This window comes from Homo sapiens, chromosome 11, assembly GCF_000001405.40.
Source record: "Homo sapiens chromosome 11, GRCh38.p14 Primary Assembly".
NCBI classification, from domain to species: domain Eukaryota; kingdom Metazoa; phylum Chordata; class Mammalia; order Primates; family Hominidae; genus Homo; species Homo sapiens.
In genome coordinates this window covers 40,141,067-40,163,830 of record NC_000011.10, presented here as the reverse complement: position 1 = coordinate 40,163,830, position 22,764 = coordinate 40,141,067, and the positions used below count along the sequence as shown (strand labels likewise).

The following is a 22,764-nucleotide window of genomic DNA, read 5'->3' as shown; positions in this document are numbered from 1 at the left end:
TATAACTTGCTTTTGCAAAAGCAAGTTATAAATCCTATTCATACTCAGTGGGAGGATTATATAAGGGTGTGGCTCAGGGTCATCTTAGAATTCTGCCTACTGTACTTAGCTTGGGAATTCTCTTTCGTGTGGTATTTCTAACCAGGTACCATACTTGCTATTATGTTATTATAATCAATTTCTATTCATAGGATAGACTGACTCTAGAAGCAGCTTATAGTCCAATTCATACATAACAATATATTGCAATTCAGAATATATACATACTCATACATATACACAAATATATATAAATAATTATTTTTAGTTTCACATTCCATCATAAAATTAAAATCAGCCATGGTTCCATTTACACACTTGATACCTTGCCAGCAAATGTCTTCATAGTCTAGATATTTTGCAACCCGGTGATTCCTGTAAGGGAGAGTTTTATTACCTTACTGTCATTCAGACATTGAAGGAGGTGGTGACTTCTTTTGAAATGCAGCATACTTTGTTCTAAACCCTCTGAAAGACAGGCAATCTTTACTAAGATCAAACCTTCAAGATAATGTGAAACTATCTTTCTCTCTGGGCTGTATTAAAAATTTGATTGAAAATTTATCAGAAACTTTTAATGGATATTAATGTTCTTACACACGGTATGGTGGATAGGGTATGGATAGGATGCACTGTGCTTTCTGGGAAACGTTCCAAGCAATGGCTTAAGGGGACCACTATGAGGAATTTTCTTGCTTGGCTCTGTGACAAATGGCATGCCTGCTTAATCAAGACTAGGTGCAATATGGTTGCTGCCCTTTAACAAAACTATAATAGAAGATAAGAGACAAAAGAGATATGTAGTAGAGGTGGTTAGAGGGATAATGAAGCTTATAGATGAGGTGAGATGGCAAATGAGAACATTCCATCCAGAAAGGCTGAGAGTTGAGAGTTAAATCCTATCTCATGAAAATGATCACTAAACAGGTGCTTAGAAGTACAAGTTAAAGTGCCTCATTGTTGTATTTGGACAGCCTGAATAAGAAACTTGGCTTTGCTACTTATCAACTATGCTAACTTTGACTGAGTTATTAAACCTTATTAAGTTACCATTTCCTTAGCATCTGGGAGGATACAAATCACATACCTTACGTAAAGTTTGTTATAGTACTTGGCCCTAATAAACACAACAACAAAACAAGGAAACAAGCGGATGAACACTGAGCTACAAAGCGACGAAACATTTGCAGATTTCTTTATGTACCTTACCATCTAACGGGGAGGTGGAGAGTACTATACAAGTGAAAGAAAAGTTGCAGAGTGATCTCCCAAATTCCAGAGTCATGGCAGAAATCTCAGTCATCAAGAGAGGTGCTTTCTTCTTCTCTCACCCTGGGTGAGAGGCAAACAGGTGCTTGCTTGTTCTCTTACCCAGGGTCTAGAGGAAGCAATTTATTTATTTATCTGTTTCATCTATATCTCTTTCTCTAATTCTGTGTCAAAATTATTAAAATCCATTTTTATTTAACCTTTGCACCAAAGAAAAATGCCAAAATGTTTGAGCGTTTGCAGCTGTGATGCCTATGAGCTAATGAAGGTCAAGCAGACTAAGTCCCTGTGGAGAGACAACAAAGCTGGCACCGGAAATGATGTCTGGCTTGTTATAACGGTCAGTCTTTTTTTTTTTTTCTTCTGGAACCAGTTTTCCAGACAATGAAAAGATGATGATAATGAGTAAGAAGTTGAATCGTTGGAACTATGAATACAACCCACTGCCTGCTTGTACTTATTCATGAATATTTAAAGAGACTGGGCCCTCACTAGACACTGAACTTGCTGGTAACTTGATCTTTGACTTCTCAGCCTCCAGGACTGTGAGAAATAAATTTTATTATTTATGCATTACCCAGACTCAGGAATTGTGTTATAGCAGCACAAATGGACTAAGACGTTACCCCTTCTCAACTACACACACAGACACAACCACTGTGTTTCATTCTCCTAGATTCTGTAAATTGTTCAGCACAGATTTATACACTTTCCTAGATTATATGACAGAACTTATTGCCTCTAATTTTCTTTTTAATTTTTTTCGGAGAAGGAGTCTCGCTCTGTTGCCCAGGCTGAAGTGCAGTGGCGCGATCTCGGCTCACTGTGCAACCTCCACCTCCCGGGTTCAAGCAATTCTCCTGCCCTAGCCTCCCGAGTAGTTAGGACTACAGGCACAACACTGCCATGCCAGGCTAAGTTTTTGTATTTTAGTAGAGACGGGGTCTTACCGTGTTGCCCAGGCTGGTCTTGAACTCCTGAGCTCAGGCAGTCTGCCCGCCTCGGCCTCCCAAAGTGCTAGGATCACAGGCATGAGCGACCGTGCCCGGCCTCCTCTAATTTTCAAATAACTCCTAAATGTATTTTTCTTTCATGAGCTATTTTAGAAATACCAGATACTTTAAAAATATTTACACATTGAGAATTATTTGTTGCTGATTTAAAAAATAATTTGTGTATACATTTGGGAGGCCTAGTCTCAAGTAAACATTTTATTTAACTGCCTCCTCATTATCAATCATTAACAAAATGTAAAGCATGGCCAGAGAGAAATAAGGTTAATATTTGAGAGGGGTTCTTACCTGCAATTAAAAACTCTGTAAAATTATTTTAGTCGTGATATTGAACTTGGCAAATTCTGGGATGTAATTGTAAAGAGATTTCATTTTTTTCTCCTACTAAAACTTATTCATAAACCAAGTTTTACTTCTGTTCCTAGATGAAAACTTTCTGGAAATATTTAGGTAACATGAAGCCCCATGGTCAATAATTTAAATAATCTGGTTATAGGATATTCAAGACTTTTAACTGATATTAAGATTCCTGCCTTTCCCAACACAGGCTCAATTTTGGGTGGGAAGCCTGAAGTCGCAGACTGAGGCATGGACGTGGCTGGTTTCTTCTCTATGTTGTCACATAGTCTTCTATTCCTCCTCTTCTTCTATCTGCCTACCCCTAGTTCTGACTCTCCTTTGCTGCATCATGGTTAGGGAAAATAGGTGAGAAGTAAGGAGAATAGCTTGCACTTGATAGTTACCATCTTCAGTTGACAACATAATCTTTGGATCTGGCAGACATTTGAAACTGACTTTTTAATGATGATTTTAATGTGTTCTTTCATGACCCACCCCTGCCCTTTCGCTCGTCTATAAATTTGCCTTGATGAGAGTGATGGCATATTGCTGACACATCACTTACTCCTTTTTCAGTTCCTAAGCATTTGGAAATACTTTCAGATTCCCTCTAGTAAGCTGTTGACTTCTGCAGGCAATGCTCTTGTACAGGATCTTATATATCTTCATGGCTTTCTTGTTGACACCTTTGTATATATGATCAACATCTGTTCTCATGCCCTCGAAATTTTTCAGATGAAATTTAGACACCAGCCTTCTGAGTCCCTTATATTTAACCATCTTTAGTCTTGTGATGAGGTACCGGATCCTTCTGCAATTCTCCTTCCCCTTGGAGTTGAAGATAGTAAGTCACAACCCACTGACAGTTGCTCAAAAATCTAATAATCATCTTGAAGCTACTCTCTACAAAATTGAGAGTCAGGATGTAATACCACCCACAACTTCACTTAAAAGTGGGACTCATAGTAAAACTCTGTCCAAAAAAAAAAAAATCTTCGCAACTCTTCTCTGGTCCATTTTTGCCTTTGTTGTGTTAAGAGGTTATGAACAACCACGGATGACCACCTCCATTGTAAATGCATACCACCTTTCCAGTGTACTATCCACTGTGTCTTGGTTCCCTGGCCAAAACTTTCATTTCAACATTCTGTTATTCATGTAATAACACGTAGAGGTGTAGTCTCAACAATGATTTTATGAAAATTAAACAGGGTTCTTTATTCTTTTATTCAATAAATGTTTTAGAAACTTACATGCCAAATATTATTCTAGGCTTGAGAAATGAGATAATGAACAAGTTATATAGTATCCTTCCACCCATGAAGCTTCCATTATTTTGATAGCAGGCATATAGTTTTAAAAGGAAACAAATAAACATATAATGTAATTTCAGGGAAAGGAGGTAAAAGTGACAGTCTGCAGTTGAGTAGGAGGACTTTTTAGGGAAATTTGTGAAGAAAGATGTGTGAGAAAGTAGTATTTGTACGGAAGTGATTCAAATTAATTTAGAATGATTAAAACTACATTATGGAATAAAAGTATATGTATTTTAATATGCATAAGCACATCTGGAGAACTATGAATACTATGCAATGGGATTTTCATATATTTCTAGCTCGTCCTCCCTTAGTAAGTGGGAAGAATCTCTCACCTTTTCTAAGGAAGATTTCTTAATCTGGTATAATCAGTTTCCTCATGTTTCTCTTCAGTGGGTCCCACACAGCTGGCCTGCACTGGGATGTTTGTGACCTTGTATAAGGGCTCTTATTGCATTTTTAGACTATTCTTAGTCTCTGCTAATGAGATCGCTGAGAGTTCGCTTTGAGTATCACATCTTAATCACTTGATTTCTGCAGACGTTTCCTTTCTCCAAATAAACCCTTCAAAATGCCTGCTGCTCTGTGCTCATTAACCTGGGAATGGCTTCTCTAACTCCAATTTGAAAATTATCTTCGCCATCTGAAACTTCTGTCCTGATAAGGATTCTCCAAGCAGTTAACAATGGGAGAAATATTTTAGACTCTTTGGAGTACAAAAAAAACAACGACCAAATTTTCATCTGCAAGAGGATTTTCCCTATACGTAGAAATGTGCACTTTGCTTTTTCGCAGTGTAGTATAATTACAATCCATCCCCAACTCCACTATCTGTCCAATTCCCACTTAATCCTATCATGCTCAATAAGATTTAGATTATTTTAAGATAAGAAAAAAATCATGAGTGAATAAAGAAATGAATTTTAATCAACCAGGAAGTTTCATTTCATTTTGTTTTGTTTTTCTGATACTCTTTTCCTACTATTAATCCACAATTGATTTGATATGAGTTTCATGATGAAGACAGTAGCATTCATTTAAACAAACCCAACATAAGACTAGAATCAAATGTCAGTTTAAACATCTGAAACATGTTTTCATTTGCTAATGGATATTAGGTTGGATACCTGTATTCCTAAAGAGTGGGCACTTTGATGGATCACATTAAAAATCTTTCTGATGTACAAATGTTCTAATCCAGAGCCAGAGAGCAACAGCCCCTCTCTTCATCCTTGCCAAATTTCACATGCCAGGGAATCTATTTTTTTTTTTTTTGATAAGTATGTTTTAAGCTCTAATAATGCTATTTTAAAATAAACTTTTGGTTTTAGAATATCAAATCCTAAAATTTGTTTTGTTCTTAGGGACTAAAGACCCAATTGCATACCATAATTATTAAACTGAAACTATAGTCACAGATAAATGTAATTTTTAAAATTTTTTCCTTAAGTTATTGGGGTACAGGTTGTATTTGGTTACATGAGTAAATTTTTTAGTGGTATTTGTGAGATTTTGCTGCACCCATCACTTGAGCAGTATACACTGCACCATATTTGTAGTCTTTTATCCTTCATCCCCGCTTCCACTCTTCCCCCCAAGTCCCCAAAGTCCACTGTATCATTTTTATGCCTTTGTGTCCTCATAGCTTAGCTCCCACATATCAGTGAGAACATACGATGTATGGTTTCACATTCCTGAGTTACTTCACTTAGAATAATAGTCTCCAATCTCATCCAGGTCACTGCAAATACTGTTAATTCATTCCTTTTTATGGCTGCATAGTATTCCCTCATAGATCTATACCACAGTTTCTTTATCCACTCATTGATTGATGGGCATTTGGGTTGGTTTCATGATTTTGCAATTGTGAATTGTGCTGCTGTAAACATGTGTGTGCAAGTATCTTTTTCAAATAATGACTTCTTTTCCTCTGGGTAATCCTACCCAGTAGTGGAATTGCTGGAACAAATGGTAGTTTCTTACCTTTAGTTTTTTTAAGGAATCTCCACACTGTTTTCCATAGTGGCTGTACTAGTTCACGTTCCCTCCAGCAGTGTAGAAGTGTTCCCTGTTCACCGCATCCATGCCAGCATCTACTGTTTTTTGACTTTTTGATTATGGCCATTCTTGCAGGAGAAAGGTGCTTTTGCATTATGGTTTTGATTTGCATTTCCCTGATCATTAATGATGTTGAGCATTTTTTCATATATTTACTGGCCATTTGTGTGTCTTCTTTTGAGAATTGCCTATTCATGTCCTTAGCCCACTTTTGATGGGATTGTTTGTTTTTTCTTACTGATTTGTATGAGTTTGTGGTAGATTCTGGATATTAGTCCTTTGTCAGATGTATAGATTGCGAAGATTTTCTCCCACTCTGTGGGTTGTCTGGTTACTTTGCTGACTGTTCCTTTTGCTGTACAAAAGCTCTTTAGTTTAATTAGGTCCCAGCTATGTATCTTTGTTTTTATTGCATTTTTGGGGGGTTCTTGGTTATGAAATCCTTGCCTAAGCCAATGTCTAGAAGGGTTTTTCCAATGTTGTCTTCTAGAATTTTTATAGTTTCAGGTCTTAGGTTTAAGTCTTTAATCCAACTTGTGTTGATTTTTGTATAAGGTGAGAGATGAGGATCCAGTTTCATTCTCCTACATGTGACTAGCCAATTACCCCAGCACCATTTGTTGAAGGGGTGTCCTTTCCACACTTTATGTTTTTGTCGGCTTTGTCAGAGATCAGTTGGCTGTATCTGGGTTTATTTCTGGGTTCTCTATTCTGCTGCATTCGTCTATGTGCCTATTTTCATACCAGTACCACTCTGTTTTGGTGACTATGGCCTTATAGTGAAGTTTGAAATCAGGTAGTGTGATGCCTCCAGATTTGTTCTTTTTGCTTAGTCTTGCTTTGGCTATACGGGCTCTTTTTTGATTCCATATGAATTTTAGAATTGTTTTTTCTAATTCTGTAAAAAATTGTGTGGTATTTTGATGGAAATTGTGTTGAATTTGTAGATTGCTCTTGGCAGTATACTCATTTTCACAATATTCATTCTACCCTTCCATGAGCATGGGATGTGTTTCCATTTGTTTGTGTCATCTATGATTTTTTTCAGCAGTGTTTTGTAGTTTTCCTTGTAGAGGTCTTTTGACTCCTTGGTTAGGTATATTCTAAGTGTTGTTGTTGTTGGGTTTTTTTGTTTGTTTGGTTGCTTGGGTTTTTGTTTTTGTTTCTGTTTTTTGTTTTTTGTGGTTTTTTTGCAGCCATTGTAAAAGAGGTTGAGTTCTTGATTTGATTCTCTGCTTGGTTTCTGTTGGTGTATAGAAGAGCTACTGATTTATGTACATTAATCTTGTATCCAGAAACTTTGCTGAATTCTTTTATCAGTTCTAGGAGCTTTCTGGATGAGTCTTAGTGTTTTCAAGGTAAATGATCATATCTTCAGCAAACAGTGACAGTTTGACTTCTTCTTTACTGACTTGGATGCCCTTTATTTCTTTCTCTTGTCTTATTGCTCTGGCTAGGACTTCTAGTACTATGTTGAAGAGGAGTGGTGACAGTGGGCATCCTTGTCTTGTTCATTCAGAGGGAATGCTTTCAACTTTTCCCCATTCGGTATTATGTTGGCTGTGGGTTTGTCATAGATGGCTTTTATTACATTCAGGTATGTCTCTTGTATGCTGATTTTGCTGAAAGTTTTAATCATAGAGCAATGCTAGATTTTGTCAAATGCTTTTTCTGCATGTATTGAGATGATCATGTGATTTTTGTGTTTAATCCTGTTTATGTGGTGTATTACATTTATTGACGTGCGTATGTTAAACCATCCCTGCATCTATGGTATGAGACACACTTGATCATGGTGGATTATCTTTTTGATACGTTGCTGGATTCGGTTAGCTAGTATTTTGTTAAGGATTTTAGCATCTATATTCATGAAAGATATCAGTCTGTAGTTTTCTTTTTTGGTTGTGTCCTTTCCTGGTTTTGGTATTAGGGTGATGCTGGCTTCATAGAATGAGTTAGGGAAGGTTCTTTCTTTATCTTGTGGAATAATGTCAAAAGGATTGGTATCAATTCTTCTTTGAACATCTGGTAGAATTCTGCTGTGAATCCGTCTGGTCTTGGACTTTTTTTTGTTGGTAATATTTTAGTTATCATTTCAATCTCACTGCTTGTTATTGGTCTGTTCAGGGTATCTGATTCTTCCTCATTTAAGCTAGGAGGGTTGTCTTTTTCCAGGAATTTATCCATCTCTTCTGGGTTTTCTAATTTATGTGCATAAAGGTATTCATGGTAGCCTTGAATGATCTTTTGTATTTCAGTGGTGTCAGTTGTAATATCTCCTGTTTTGTTTCTTAGTGAGGTTATATGGATTTTCTCTCTTCTTTTCTTGGTTAAGCTTGATAATGGTCTATCAATTTTATGTATCTTTTCAAAGAACCAGGTTTTGTTTCATTTATCTTTTGTATTTTTTTAATTTCAATTTCATTTAGTTCTGCTCTCATCTTGGTTTTTCCTTCCTTCTGTTGGGTTTGGGTTTTGTTTGTTCTTCTTTTTCTAGTTTCTTGAGGTGTGACCTTAGATTGTCTCTTTGTACTCTTTCAGAGTTTTTGATGTGGGCATTTAGGGCCATAAACTTTCCTCTTACCAACGCCTTTGCTGTATCCCAGAGTTTTGATAGGTTGTGACATTATTGTCATTCAGTTTGAAGAATTTTTTAATTTTCATCTTGATTTCATTTTTGACACAGTGCCCATTCAGGAGCAGGTTATTTAATTTCCATGTATTTATTTCCACCTATTTTAAAGGTTCTTTTTGGAGTTGATTTCCAGTTTTATTCCACTGTGGTCTGAGAGAGTGCTTGATATAATTTCAATTTTCTTCAATTTATTGAGGCTCATTTTATGGCCTATCATATGGTCTACCTTGGAGAAAGATCCACGTGCTGTTAAATAGAATGTGTATCCTGTGGTTGTTGGATGAAATATTCTGTATATTCGTTTAAGTCCATTTGTTCCAAGGTATAGTTTAAATCCATTGTTTGTTTGTTGACTTTCTGTCTTAAGAACCTGACTAGTGCTGTCAGTGGTGTATTGAAGTCTCCTACTATTATTGTGTTGCTGTCTATCTCATTTCTTAGGTTTATTCATAATTGTTGTATAAATTTGGGAGTTCCAGTGTTAGGTGCATATATGTTTAGGATTGTGATATTTTCCTGTGGGACAAGGCCTTTTACCATTACATAATGTCCCTCTTTGCCTCTTTTAACCACTGTTGCTTTAAAGTTTGTTTTGTCTGCTATAGGAATAACTACCCTGGCTCACTTTTGGTGTTCATTTGCTTTTTCCACCCCTTTACTTTAAGTTTATTTGAGTCTTTATGTGTTAGGTGAGTCTCCTGAAGGTAGCAGATAGTTGGTTGGTGAGTTCTTATCCATTCTGCAGTTCTGTATCTTTTAAGTGGAGCATTTAGGCCATTTACATTTAATGTTAGTATTGAAATGTGAGGTACTGTTGCATTAATTGTGTTCTTTGTTGCCTGTGTACTTTGCTTTTTGTTTTTTTTTTTTTTTTGCTTTTTAGCTTGTATTTTTGTTTTATAGGCAAATGGTAATGGCGAATTCATTCAGCATTTGTTTGTCTGAAAACAACTGTATCTTTCCTTCATATGTGATGCTTAGTTTTGCTGGATACAAAATTCTTGGCTGATAATTGTTTTGTTTGAGAAGGGTGAAGATAGGGCCCCAATCCCGTCTAGCTTGCAGGGTTTATGCTGAGAAATCTGCTGTTCATCTGATAGATTTTCCTTTATAGGTTACCTGGTGCCTCTGTGTCACAGCTCTTAAGATTCTTTCCTTCATCTCAACTTTGGGTAATCTGATGACAGTGTGCCTAGGCAAACATCTTTTTGTAATAAATTTCCCAAGTGTTCTTTGTGCTTCTTGTATTTGGATGTCTAGTTCTCTAGCTAGGCCAGGGAAGTTTTCCCCAAATATGTTTTCTGAGCTTTTAGAATTCTCTTCTTCCTCAGGAACACTGATTATTCTTAGGTTTTTTTCATTTAACATACTCCCAGTCTTCTTGGAAGTTTTATTCATATTTTCTTATTCTTTTTTCTTTATCTTTGTTGGATTGGGTTAATTCGAAGACATTGTCTTCAAGCTCTGAATTTCTTTCTTCTACTTGTTCAATTCTATTGCTGAGACTTTCCAGAGCATTTTTCATTTCTAAAAGTGTGTCCAAAGATTCCTGAATTTTTTATTGTTTTTTTTTTTAAGCTATCTATTTCATTGAATATTTCTCCCTTCACTTCTTAATATCATTTTTTGTATTTCCTTGCATTGGGCTTCACCTTTCTCTGGTCCCTCCCTGATTAGCTTAATAACTAACCTCCTGAATTCCTTTTCAGGTAAATCAGGGATTTTTACTGGTTTGGATCCATTGCTGGTGAACTAGTGTGATTTTCAGGGGGTGTTGAAGAGCCTTGTTTTGTCATATTACCAGGGTTGGTTTTCTGGCTCCTTCTCATTTGGATAGGCTCTGTCAAAGGGAAGGTCTAAGGCTGAAGGCTGTTGTTCAGATTCTTTTGTCCCATGGGGTGTTCCCTTGATATAGTACTCCCCACTTTTCCTATGGACATGGCTTCCTGTGAGCCAAACTGCAGTGATTGTTGTCTTTCTTCTGGGTCTAGCCACCCAGCAAGTCTGCTCGGCTCCAGGCTGGTACTGGGGCTTGTCTGCACAAAGTCCTGTGATGTGAACTGTCTATGGGTCTCTCAGTCATGAATATCAGCACCTGTTCTGTTGGAAGTAGCAGAGGGTTCAATGGACTCTGTGAGGGTCCTTAGCTTTGGTGGTTTAATGCTCTATTTTTGTGCTCATTGGCCTCCTGCCAGGAGGTGGTGCTTTCCAGAAAGCAGCAGCTGTGGTAGTGTGGAGAGGGACAGGTAGTGGACAGGGCCCTGCAACTCCCAATATAATATGCCCTTTGTCATCTGCTATGAGGGTGGATAGGGAAGGACCATCAGGTAGAGGTGGGACCAGGCGTGTCTGAGCTCAGACGCTCCTTGGGCATGTCTTGCTGTGGCTGCTGTGGGGGATGGGGGTGAGATTCCCAGGTCACTGGAGTTGTGTACCTAGGAGGATTATGGCTGCCTCTGCTGAGTCATGCAGGTTGTCAGCTAAGTGGGGGAAAGCTGGCAATCACAGGCCTCACCCAGCTCCCACACAAACTGAAGGGCCGGTCTCACTCCCACTGTGCCCCACAACAGCCCGGAGTCTGTTTCCAGGCAGAGGGCGAGAGGGACTTGAAAACTTGCTGGAGGCTATCTGCCTCCCAGGTGCAAAAGAAAATGGCTTTAGTTCTTCCCCTGCCTGTGAAGTCTGCATGCCGAATTTGTGCCCTCCCTTGAGTTCTGGCCAAGAGGCTTCTCGCCCCCTTCAAATAGTAACAAAGTTCATCTAGGGAATTCCTTCTCCCTGTGGAGTTTTACCCCCTGCCACCCTCCCAGTGGATCCCCGTGGTGCCAGGCAGGAATGGGCTGCTTGGGGACCCAGCGAACTCCCAAGGCCTTTCTGCTATTTCTTCTGCCCCTATATTTTACTTGGCTCTCTAACTTGACTGAGCTCCAGGTAAAGTTAGAAACTTCTCCCGCAAACAGACCTTCAGCTTCTCCAGCGGGGGTGTGCGTTTGGAGAGGAGGGTCTCCCCTTCCTACTTCCACAGATGGGGCACTCACAGTATTTGGGGTGTCTCTCGAGTCCTGCAGGAGCAGTCCATTTCCTTCAGAGGGTCTGTGGTTCCTCTTGGGATTGCCGGTTTGTTCTTGCAGGCCATCTGGAGCTAAAATTCACAGTGCAAGCCTCTGGATGCTGCTCTGTCTGAGCTGCAATCTAGTCCTGCATCCCACCATGATCCCTTCCATCACGATAAATGTAAATTTTGAAGCTGAAATTATTCTGAAAAATTTAGTTTACTTTAAAATAAGCTTGGCAGGCACTTACCAGAATTAAATAGTTGTAGAATTTCTGGAGTATCTTCTGGGAACAACTCACAGAGGAATAGCCTAATGTCACAGAATAATGACAGAGATCTCATGTTGCCTTGTTTCTTCCCCAGAATCCAAAAGTATAGGCTTCCAGCTATATTTTATTATAATGGTTTACTCAATATGAAAATTTGGCCTTCATCAAGGGGGCTTCACTTTATAAACTTTAGCACAACTGTAGCATATTTCCATTTTTTGTCTCTACCTTCCGCGAACTACTTCAGAACAATTTAAGGCTGAGTTCTTAATCAGAATTTCGTACTAGCAAGGGAGAAACATTATACTTGACTTGAAATTATAATTTCTTGAAAAGATATAACTATGAGAATTGATATTATTTTGATGATACAAATTTTTTTGTGTATCTGACCTAGAAAAACAGTCTAGAAACTCTAGTTCCATAGAGGCTTACGTACTGGGTGTATGCATGCCACTGGGATAAGAATTGCTGTATAATTGGGCTCTGAATCTTTGTTACTTGTGTTTTCAAAGAGTTTTCAATCACCTCGATCTAAATAAAATGGAAAAAATCCCTGACATTTCAGAGTCTGTTGTCTGGTTGTGGTTTGGATGCCTCAGGAAACTGCATTGGAGTGGGAATTAGAATAGCCTTGTTTTAAAGCAAAATTTGTCACTGGACAGGGCAAACTCTTGGGGAAAAGTTAGAGAAGGCACAGAATGCCACAAAAACTAGAAAGAGAACTAGACTAACAGAGAAGATAATATTTTCAAAGGCCTAAGAATAGCTAGGGAGGTGGAGGTGATCCCTTGACACAAATACTCTTGCAGGCATATGGAGCATGGCAGTGGGGAGTTCAGAAGCAGATGACATTTAGGTAGTTGCACTGGTAGTTGGCAGATGGCATTTTTTTTTATTTCTCTCACCACCACCCCCATATGTAATCCCTAAGCAAATCTTAACTCTCTCTACCTCCATAACAAATTCTTAATCTTCTACTTCTATTTCTACTGCTACCAAAGATCAAACCATCTCTCTCATGTATCACTGATCTACTTCTCCCTTCAATTAGTTCTCATACATGGTCAGAATGGTAGATTGAAAGTCTAAATCAGGCTGGGCACGGTGGCTCATGCCTGAACTAGCACATTGGGAGGCTGAGGCAAGAGGATTTCTTGAGCCTCAGGGGTTTGAGAACAGCCTGGACAAGATGGTGAGACCAGGTATCTACGAAAATTAAAAATTAAAAAAATTAGCCAGGCATGGTGGTGTGTGCCTGTTATCCCAACTACTCAAGAGGCTGAGGCCAGGAGTTTGAGGCTGTAGTAAGCTATGATCATGCTACCGCAATGTAGCTTGGGCAACAGAGCAAGACCATGTCTCTTTTAAAGAAACAAGTCTAAGTCAAACTATATTATTTTCTAATGTAAAATTCTCTATGAGTTTTTCATTGCATATAGAATACAAAGAAATTGCTTTACCTGGCCTGCAAGGCCTAGCTCTCTGAAGTATGTTGGATGGTTTTACACAAAAAATCTACATACTAGCCCCCAGAAGCCAGATGTGACCTTATTTGGAAAAAACAGTCTTTGTGTACATAATTAAGTTGAGGATCTTGAGATTAGATCATCCTGGATTATCCAGGTGGACCCCAAATACAATGACAAATGTCCTCATAGAGACACATAGAGGAGAGACACAGGGAGAAGAGAAGAAGGGCCATATGGGGGTAAAGAAAGAGAATGGAGTCATGTAGCCACAAGCCAAGGAAGACCTAGAGCCACCAAAGTTGGAAAAAGCAAGGAAGAATTCTCCCCTAGGGCTTTTGAAAGGAGTACAGCCCTGGCAGCATCTCAGTTTCAGACTTCCAGCTTCCAGAACTGCAGAAGGATACATTTCTGTTGTTTTATATCATCAAGTTTGTGGTAATTTGGTGTGGCAACCACAGGAAACTAATACTTTCACCACCCACATCTCTGACTCTTTTGCCTGCCCCTGTTATGTCTACTAGACTGGCCTATTTCTTCCCCATATTATTCTTTAAGTACAACATTCTCCTTAAAAATTGAAGACTTTATGTTAGCTATTCTCTCTTCCTGGAATATTTTTCTCCCAGATGTTTTTATATCTAAGTTCTTTCTTATCATTCTTGAATTTACACATCTCTTTTTCAGAGGGGCCTTACCAGACCATCAATTTAATGTTTTCTCTCAAACTCTCCCTGCTTGCAGACAACATGATCCTGTATCTGGAAAGCCCCATAGTCTTAGCCCCAAAGCTCCTTAAGTTAATAAATAACTTCAGCAAAGTCTCAGGATACAAAATTAATATATAAAAATCACTAGCATTCCTATACACCAACAACAGTCAAGCCAAGAGCCAAATCAGGAACATAATCCCATTCACAATTACCACAAAAAGAATAAAATACCAGGAATACAGCTAACCAGGGAGGTGAAAGATCTCAACAATGAGAACTACAAAACACTCCTCAAGGAAATCAGAGATGACATAAACAAATGGGAAAACATCCCATGCTCATGAACAGGAAGAATCATTATTGTTAAAATGGCTATACTGCCCAAGGCAATTTATAGATTAACTGATATTCCTATTAAATAGCCAATGACATTCTTCACAGAACTAGAAAAGATTATTTTAAAATTCATATGGAACCCCTGTTCCCTTAACACCCACAAAAAGCCCAAGTAGCCAAGGCATTTAAAGAACAAAGCTGGATACATCACACTACCCAACTTCAAACTATAGTACAGGGCTTCAGTAATCAAAACAGCATGGTACTGGTACAAAAACAGACACATTAATGGAACAGAATAGAGAGGCCAGAAGTAATGCTGCACTCCTACAACTATCTGATCTTTGACAAAGCTGACAAAAACAAGCAATGTGGAAAGGACTCCATATTCAATTAATAGTGCTGGGGTAACTGGCTAGCCATATGCAAAAGATTCAAACTGGACCCCTTCCTTACACCATATACAAAAATTAACTCAAGATGGATTAAAGACTTAAATGTAAAACACAAAACCATAAAAACTCTGGAAGACAATCTAAGCAATACCATTCTGGCCATAGGAACAGGCAAGAATTTAATGATGAAGACACCAAAAGCAGTTGCAACAAAGCAAAGATTGACAAATAGGATCTAATTAAACTAAGGATCTTCTGCACAGCAAAAGAAACTACCAACAGAATAAACAGACAACCCCCAGAATGGAAGAAAATATTTACAAACTATGCATCTGACAAAGGTCTAATATCCAGCATCTATAAGGAACTTAAACTAATTTACAAGAAAATAACAAATAACTCCGTTAAAAGAGGGCAAAGGACATGAACAGACACTTTTTTAAAAAAGACATACATGTGGCCACAAGCATATGACAAAAAGCTCAACATCACTGATCATTAGAGAAATGAAAAACAAAACCACAGTGAGATATCATCTCACACCAGTCAGAATGGCTATTATAAAAAGTCAAAAAATGACAGATGTCAGTGAGGTTGTGGAGAATAAGGAATGCTTATGCATTGTTGGTAGGAGTGTACATTAGCTCAACCATTGTGGAAAACAGTGCGGCAATTCTTCAGAGACCTAAAGTCAGAAACACCATTTGATCCAAATCATTCTACCACAAAGACACATGCACTTATATGTTCATTGCAGCACTGTTCACAACAGCAAAGACATGGAATCAACCTAAATGCCTATCAATGGTAGATTGGATAAAGAAAATGTGGTACATATATACCATAGAATACTATGCAGCCATAGTATGGACATGGATGAAGCTGGAGGCCGTTATTCTTAGCAAAGTAGCACAGGAACAGAAAACCAAATATTGCATGTTCTTACTTATAAGTGGGAGCTAAATGATGAGAACACATGGACACACAGAGGGGAACAACACACACTGGGGCCTATCAGGGTGAGGGTGGGAGGAGGGAGAGGATCAAGAAAAATAACTAATGAATACTAGGCTAAATACCTGGGTGATGAAATAATCTGTACAACAACCCCCATGACACAAGTTTACCTATATTACAAACTTGCACATGTACCCCTGAACTTAAAACAAAAGTTACATAAAAAGAAAAAGAAAAAATAAAGTTTCCTCTCAATTATTCTGTTTTTTAATTATTTTCTTTTCATCTCGACAATTATGTCTACCTCATCTTTTTTTTTAATTATTTATTATCTGTCTAACCTACAAAAAGTAAGCCCCATGAAGTGAGAGGTCTTCACTGTCTGATTCATTGCAGAATCCCCAGTGTCTAGAACAGTCTCTGCTCTTAAGATATTAATTAATGTTGAATGAGAAAAAAATGCAGAAGAAAGGCTATCAGTGCTGGAGGAAGTTAGGGTGATAAGGTTGGAATCTAGAAATTTGAGCAGCAAGCCAGGTTCTTAGTTTTGAGGCTCTGGGAGATTGGATAGTTATAATAAAAAGAACTAGATTTATGCAGCAGGACAGGGATCCTGTAAGAGATCTGAAATAAATATGGAGGTGTGGTCTTGGAACCAAACTGGAAAAATTTCCCAAAGTCGTATAGGGTACAGAGTAGAACTTTTGAAGCCTAAGATTAGTAATGATGTCATGAGGCTGTGTGAGAGTTAGGCCTAACAAGATGGCCAGGATTTGTTCTACCTGCAAGTGGCGGTCAGTGCCCACTATTAAATTGAGAGAAGGGCTAATGAAGTTGGGAAAAAGTCAGGCACTTGCAACATGAGGCAGCAGCTATAATTCCCAACTGCTTTGGTAAAGAGAACACTTGGCTTTCTGATAATCTAGACATAACCATTTTCTAGTGGATTAAATCTAGGAGACTAGGTCCTTCCCAAAAGGGCCCACTTTGAGTAAAGTTTAAGTTTGAAAGCAATGACTTAATTTGATCCTGTGTGCTCTCAATGGTGCTATACCAATGCAACCTAGAAAGCGCTATACCCAATGTCAGGCTGACACAGAGTTCCCACAGTATCTAGATACCAGTGTTGAGCAGGAAGTCCATCCCTCATGGTGTCATTATTCAACTTTTTGTGCCTTGTCTACCTTATTGTCAGTTTAAGAAGCTTAATGAGGATGTCCTAGTCCAATTCAGAAATTAAGGAAAACATATCATCTGAGGATAAGGAATATTGTTTCAGAATAATGTAAACCAGGAGGACTATTTGTAGATGACTGGAAGGTCTTAGAAGCCATTCCGTCAGGAACACCATCTTTGTGATTTTCTACAGGTTGGAGAGTGTCCTTATGCAGCATCCTTGGGGGCTCTTTGTGACTATTTTCTAAGTTAGCTTAATGACAACAGTCAGAGACATGTGGAAATTGTATTTTAAGGCTTATAGCCATTTTAGAGTTCCTATAGATAGGGTCTGTTGAGGCATCCCCTCAGCGGGTATAACTTGTCTCATAGAAGGTATTTCAGCATTTTTCACTCTCTCTGACTTTCCCCTAGGTTTGCTATTGTTATTGTTAGGTGTATATTTTGAAAATGACAAACAATCAGGTTGAGGAAAAGGTCTATAGTGTGTTTGTGTCTGTGGGCACAAATGTGGAATAAATATATATAATGCACAGTGGCTGATATTTTGTGTCATTTATCTTCACTTGTGAAAAAAGATGGGATAAGTCACTGATGACTGTTCCAGTCCTGATCCATCCTTCATCACTACACTCATGAAGATAAATGCCACATTTAAGGAGAGCACAGCTATCATGTGTCCTTTCAGACTGGAGAGTCAGATCAGTTAGAGCAAGAGGTCAATCAGGTGCTGTTACTTAAAAATCAAGGACATTTTATATATACCATCTTCTACCCCATATACCTTGCTCTCTCCTATTAAACTAGGGTACTTCTAGCAGCCAGAGGATGATTTGGTAGCATTTATAATTTCATCTATGTCTACAGATATGCATTTAATTTAAACAATTCATTTCCTGGTATATGCCCAGCATAGAGCTTTGCAGTGACAACGCACTGATTAAAAGAATATTGTCCTGGTCCTTATACTGATAAATATTATAATGAAGCAAACACTATAGAAAAAAATAATAAAGTGGTTAATTTTTTCTGTGAGCAAGTTAAGTGAGAAAGGAGTAAGTGAGAACTGTTGAGAAGTGGTAATATTTAAACTGCTATATTAGAGAAAACAGTATGGACACTTTATCTTTCTGTAATGTACAAATGGCAGCATGACTGGATTTTAAGCTATGGTAAGGCAAATGGATGACTTCTCTGCTCTAGCTTGTAGATCCTGGTATAGGTAATCAATAGATAAGGTCCCTTTATAACTCTGTAACTGAATGAACTATTCCGGTTTTAATTTTAATTACCCTTTCACAAATTGAATATTTGAGGTTACATTGAAATAAAAGTATTGGCTTTTTTTCCCATTGGTTGAGACATAAAAGTTTATGTAACTAGACCTAAGCTGAAAAGGATTTCCATAGATCCTAGAAATTTGATTGGCCAACTGGGCACTTCTAAAATCATTATTTCTCTTTGGAAACTATTGTTTTGAACAATATAAAACTGTTGATAGTCACCAGTTTTTGACCTAGGAGGTGACAATTTGATGAGATTCTCTGTAATCATGCTAATTGATTATATAGTTTAAATTTTGGGATATGCTTTAGTTGCTTTTTTCTATATATAAGTTTATTTCACCAAATAAGCTATTTCATTATCTTATTCAAGAAACATTTATTGAACACATATTACACAGCAGTTACTGGGGTGTATGCATGCCCATGGAATGGAATATGTTGGCTGTCCCAGGGGGCATGCAGTCTAATGAGGCAGAAAGACACATAAGCAAGCAAGTACGAGTTGGAAAACTAGCACACTGGTTGATAGTTGCCCAACAAATGTTCTTTCCCTTCTTCTCACATTGGACATAGAAGTGCAATGTGTTAAAGGAACACAGAAGAGTGAGTCTCTATAAATGTAAACAACCTGGAAGGATTCATTGCAGAAAATACCTCCTGTTTACCTTGTGTTAAAAGACCATGTAATAGGGAGATCACTAGCCTACGGCTTCAAATATTTGATTTCTTCTATTAACTCATCACATATTAGGGCTTTTATTAAACCTTAATCACATTATTTAACTTTCTTATACTTTAACTTTCTTAACTGCAAAATGAAAAATTATAATCTCATTCGCCTTCCTCCTATATTTGTTGAGGGTCAGATAGGGTAATACACATGAAACAATTTTTCAAATTATAATTTATAGTATTAACAAAAGATACAATCTTCATCATCATCTTTCTTATTGCCAGTCTTGTTTTCAACAAGACCTTTCAACAAAGTGCTATGTAAAAGATCAAGGAGGATTATCACCTTGTTTTATATTTTCCCAAGTCCAGGCTTAATAATACATCTGGGGACAAGTACCACATTTGGCCTTAAATCATCATTTTAGAAAAGTAGATGAGTTGTTTAGCCATTTGTAAGTGTTTCGAACAGTGCTCAATAAACAATGAATGAAGGGTCTGCTGGTAGCAGATGGATAGTTATGTTCAGCATTTTTTTAATGAAGGAGAATTTAGAAAAATACATATAATTCAAAGAAATTAACTCTCAGATAATTATCGTTTCCATTATTAGAGAATGTATGACATGCCAGGCTTGTTGGTTTATGGGTATCATCTCATTTCAAGTTTAGAACAACCTTTTGAAGTTGACTCTATTATTATCACCTTAATTTTACAGATGAGGAAATTGAAACCTAAAAAAATTATATAACTTCCCACAAGCCACAAAATGACTATCTCTGATGATAGAATTTATGAACTTAACTGCTATACCTTTTACAGCTCTGATCTAGCTATCGTTACCACCCCCATGTTTATTCTCTCCTTCCTACTTAGTAATCTCCATTTTCTCCAGAAAAGCCCTCAAGGAAGGCACTGATCTCTCTGAGCTTTAGTTTCCTCACCTATAAAATGGGGCTACTTTTGGAGATTCATCAATAAACAAATCATATAAACTCCATATCCTGGGAACTCATATTCTAGTTGGAGGAGACAGAAAACAAATATGTACATGTTATCTCTAGTTTTGAGATGTTTTATCAAGCGAAATAAAACAGAATAAGGGGACAGAGAATTATGAGAACAAGGATGGTTATGTTTTAAGCAACATAACCAGGGAAGACCTCTCTGAGCAGGTTTAGCAGAGCCCTGAAGGAAGTAAAGAAGCAAAGTATACAGGTATTTGCATGAAAGGTGGCACTGTTGTCATGGAGTGCAGGTGTAGGTATAGGTCTGTCTGGGTGAAGGGCATTCCAGGCAGAGGAACAGCATGTGCAAGGCCCCTGAGAAAGCACTATGTTTGGTGTGCAGGAGAAACAATAAGGAGCCAGTGTGGTAGTCAGAGCAGAGTGAATATGAACGATTGTTGTAGGAAAATGAGATCAAAGAAGCGGGAGAGATGCAGGAAAAAAAAATTATGACTGGCCATTAGGACTTTAATATTACTCTGAGTGTTGCGAGAAGCCATTGAGCATTGAGAAGGAACATGATCTGACTTTAATTCAAATAGGATCCCTCCACTATGTGGAGAAATTAGAAGCAGGAAAACCAGATATTGGACCAGGCTATGGAATACTCCAATTATCCAGATAGAAATTGGACCAAGACATAGCAATAGATGTGTTTGGAGAAAAAAACAGAATACTGATACACAGAATTTCCAATGCATGGGTGATAGGATATAAAGGTGATAAGATGTAGAGGTGATACAATCCAAAAAGAGAGGGTATGAGACCAAAAAAACGTTTCAAGGTAGATTTTGGCCTGAGCACTAGAAAAATCATTCCTGAAATGGTGCTTGGCACACAGTAAGAGCTTAAAATATATAGTTGTATGAATGAATGAATGCAACTGCCATTAGAAAAAGTCTTTGTCGGGTTAAATCAAAATGAAGAGTTTGACTGTAGACAGGTTGATTTTTGAAGCCTCCAAGTGGAGGTCTTGAAAAAGCAGTAGTATATACAAGTCTGCAAGCCTGCTGGAGATTTAAGTTTGGCAGTCTTCAGTTTATAGATGGTGTTTAAAAGCATTATACGACCACCTAGAGAGTGAGTATAGATAAATAAGAGGTCCACTGATTTGAGACCTGGGGCACTCCAAGGTTCATTGGCCTGTGAGACAAGACACAACCAGCAATGGATGTTGAGTAGAGTTATCACTGAGGCAAGAGGAGAAGCAAGGGAGTCGTTTTGTAGGAGCCAAGTGCAAAAGGTGTTTCATAAAGGACAGAGTGATCATTATGTCAAACATTAATAATTTTTGCCTAATATGAAAATTGAGAACCGGCTATTTGATTTAGCAATAAACATGTTTTCACCTCCCACCTTTTCTTTGCCTCTCTACACACACTAATTGTTACCTACAGCCTTGCTCTAAAGTTATAAATCCCAAGCACATTAAATTCCGATTCATATTTCATATATCCTACTGAAGGGTAGTTAATACTTCTTGAAACCATGAGATTTGGGAAAACATTTTATAAAATCGAGGTTTTTTTTTTTTTTTTTTTTTTTTTTTGAGACAGAATCTCACTGTGTCACCCGACTGGAGTGCAGTGGCATGATCTTGGCTCACTGCCACCTCTACCTACCAAGTCCAAGCAATTCTGCCTCAGCCTCCCAAGTAGCTGGGACTACAGGCGTGCACCACCATGCTGGCTAATTTTTGTATTTTTAGTGGAGACAGGGTTTCGCCATGTTTGCCAGGCTGGTCTTGAACTCCTGACATCAGGTGATCCACCCACCTCGGCCTCCGAGAGTGCTGGGATTACAGGTGTGAGCCACTCCGCCTGGCTGAGTTATCCATTTATTTAAACCTATGGACAGAAAATCCACAGATCATCTTTAAAATACATTTTGATCATATTCAGTTTTACTTGCATAATAATAACATTCATTAGTGATATATTGCTATGACATTTGAAAAGCACTTTTATTTACATTGTCTGTTCCAGACAAAATCATCTAATACAGTAAAATGCCCATCTGTGAAGCTTACACCATCAGATTATACCACCTGCTAACAACTTCTTGTTGGAGTCAGCCATAGCCCTGTGCTTCACTCCTCCTTGTCCCTTGAAGATTTTAACATCTGCCTCCCTGTTGTTCTCTCCATACTTACTCTTGATAGGCTTCTTGGTGATTTTAATATCCATGTCAGTCCCTTGATCTTGATTACTAATTGTGAGGGATCTTTCTATCTGCAGTTCCTCTGGGTTTCCTCTTTGTACAGTCTGTACCAACTATATTTCCAAGGTTGGAAGACCTGTATTTGTTGGAATTACAGCAAGTTTCTTTTACTTCATTATACTTTGTAAAATGTGAGCTCTCTCTCTTAGGATCTCTTTGCTTTAAGTACTGTACATGGCCCTCAGTCTCAGATTATGATTTTTATTCTGTCAGTGCCACAGGAGTAGTGGGGTGAGATGAGAGATGTGTAGAGAGAGGAAAGATTTTATATCTTTCTTGTTTGGGGATGTGGTGTTGGTGGTGGGCAATCCCAAATAGAATTTGCAGCAGATGCCTATGTCAGATTCTTAACATCCCATTTGACTTTAATAATTGAGTTTTCTATTTAACCCTTTCCTATCCATCATTATAATGCATTATCCAATTTAATCTTATGATGTGGTTCTGATCAGGACACTAGATCACAGAGAAAATGTGACTTACTTAAGGTCATGTATCTAATAAGACTACATTTCTTGTAAGTCCAAATGCATTTTTATT

The 22,764-nt window shown here is 37.9% G+C and overlaps 1 protein-coding gene across 25 annotated transcripts in view, besides 3 other annotated features; it reads left to right on the top strand.

Moving 5' to 3' along the window:
* Window positions 1-22,764, top strand: part of LRRC4C (leucine rich repeat containing 4C) — a 1,345,454-nt gene that overhangs the window by 1,295,822 nt on the left and 26,868 nt on the right. The gene's annotated exons all lie outside the window — the stretch shown is intronic.
* Window positions 10,660-11,160: an enhancer, noted in NCBI's record as "H3K4me1 hESC enhancer chr11:40174221-40174721 (GRCh37/hg19 assembly coordinates)". NCBI's record gives its function as "activates a minimal SCP1, AML or CMV promoter by ChIP-STARR-seq in naive H9 embryonic stem cells {active_cell/tissue: H9 hESC(naive)}" and the evidence as "EXISTENCE:reporter gene assay evidence [ECO:0000049][PMID:30033119]".
* Window positions 10,660-11,963: a biological region, named in NCBI's record as "MED14-independent group 3 enhancer GRCh37_chr11:40173418-40174617".
* Window positions 10,764-11,963: an enhancer, noted in NCBI's record as "MED14-independent group 3 enhancer chr11:40173418-40174617 (GRCh37/hg19 assembly coordinates)". NCBI's record gives its function as "activates an origin of replication core promoter dependent on BRD2, BRD4, P300/CBP and CDK7 cofactors, and independent of MED14, by STARR-seq in HCT116 cells {active_cell/tissue: HCT116}" and the evidence as "EXISTENCE:reporter gene assay evidence [ECO:0000049][PMID:35650434]".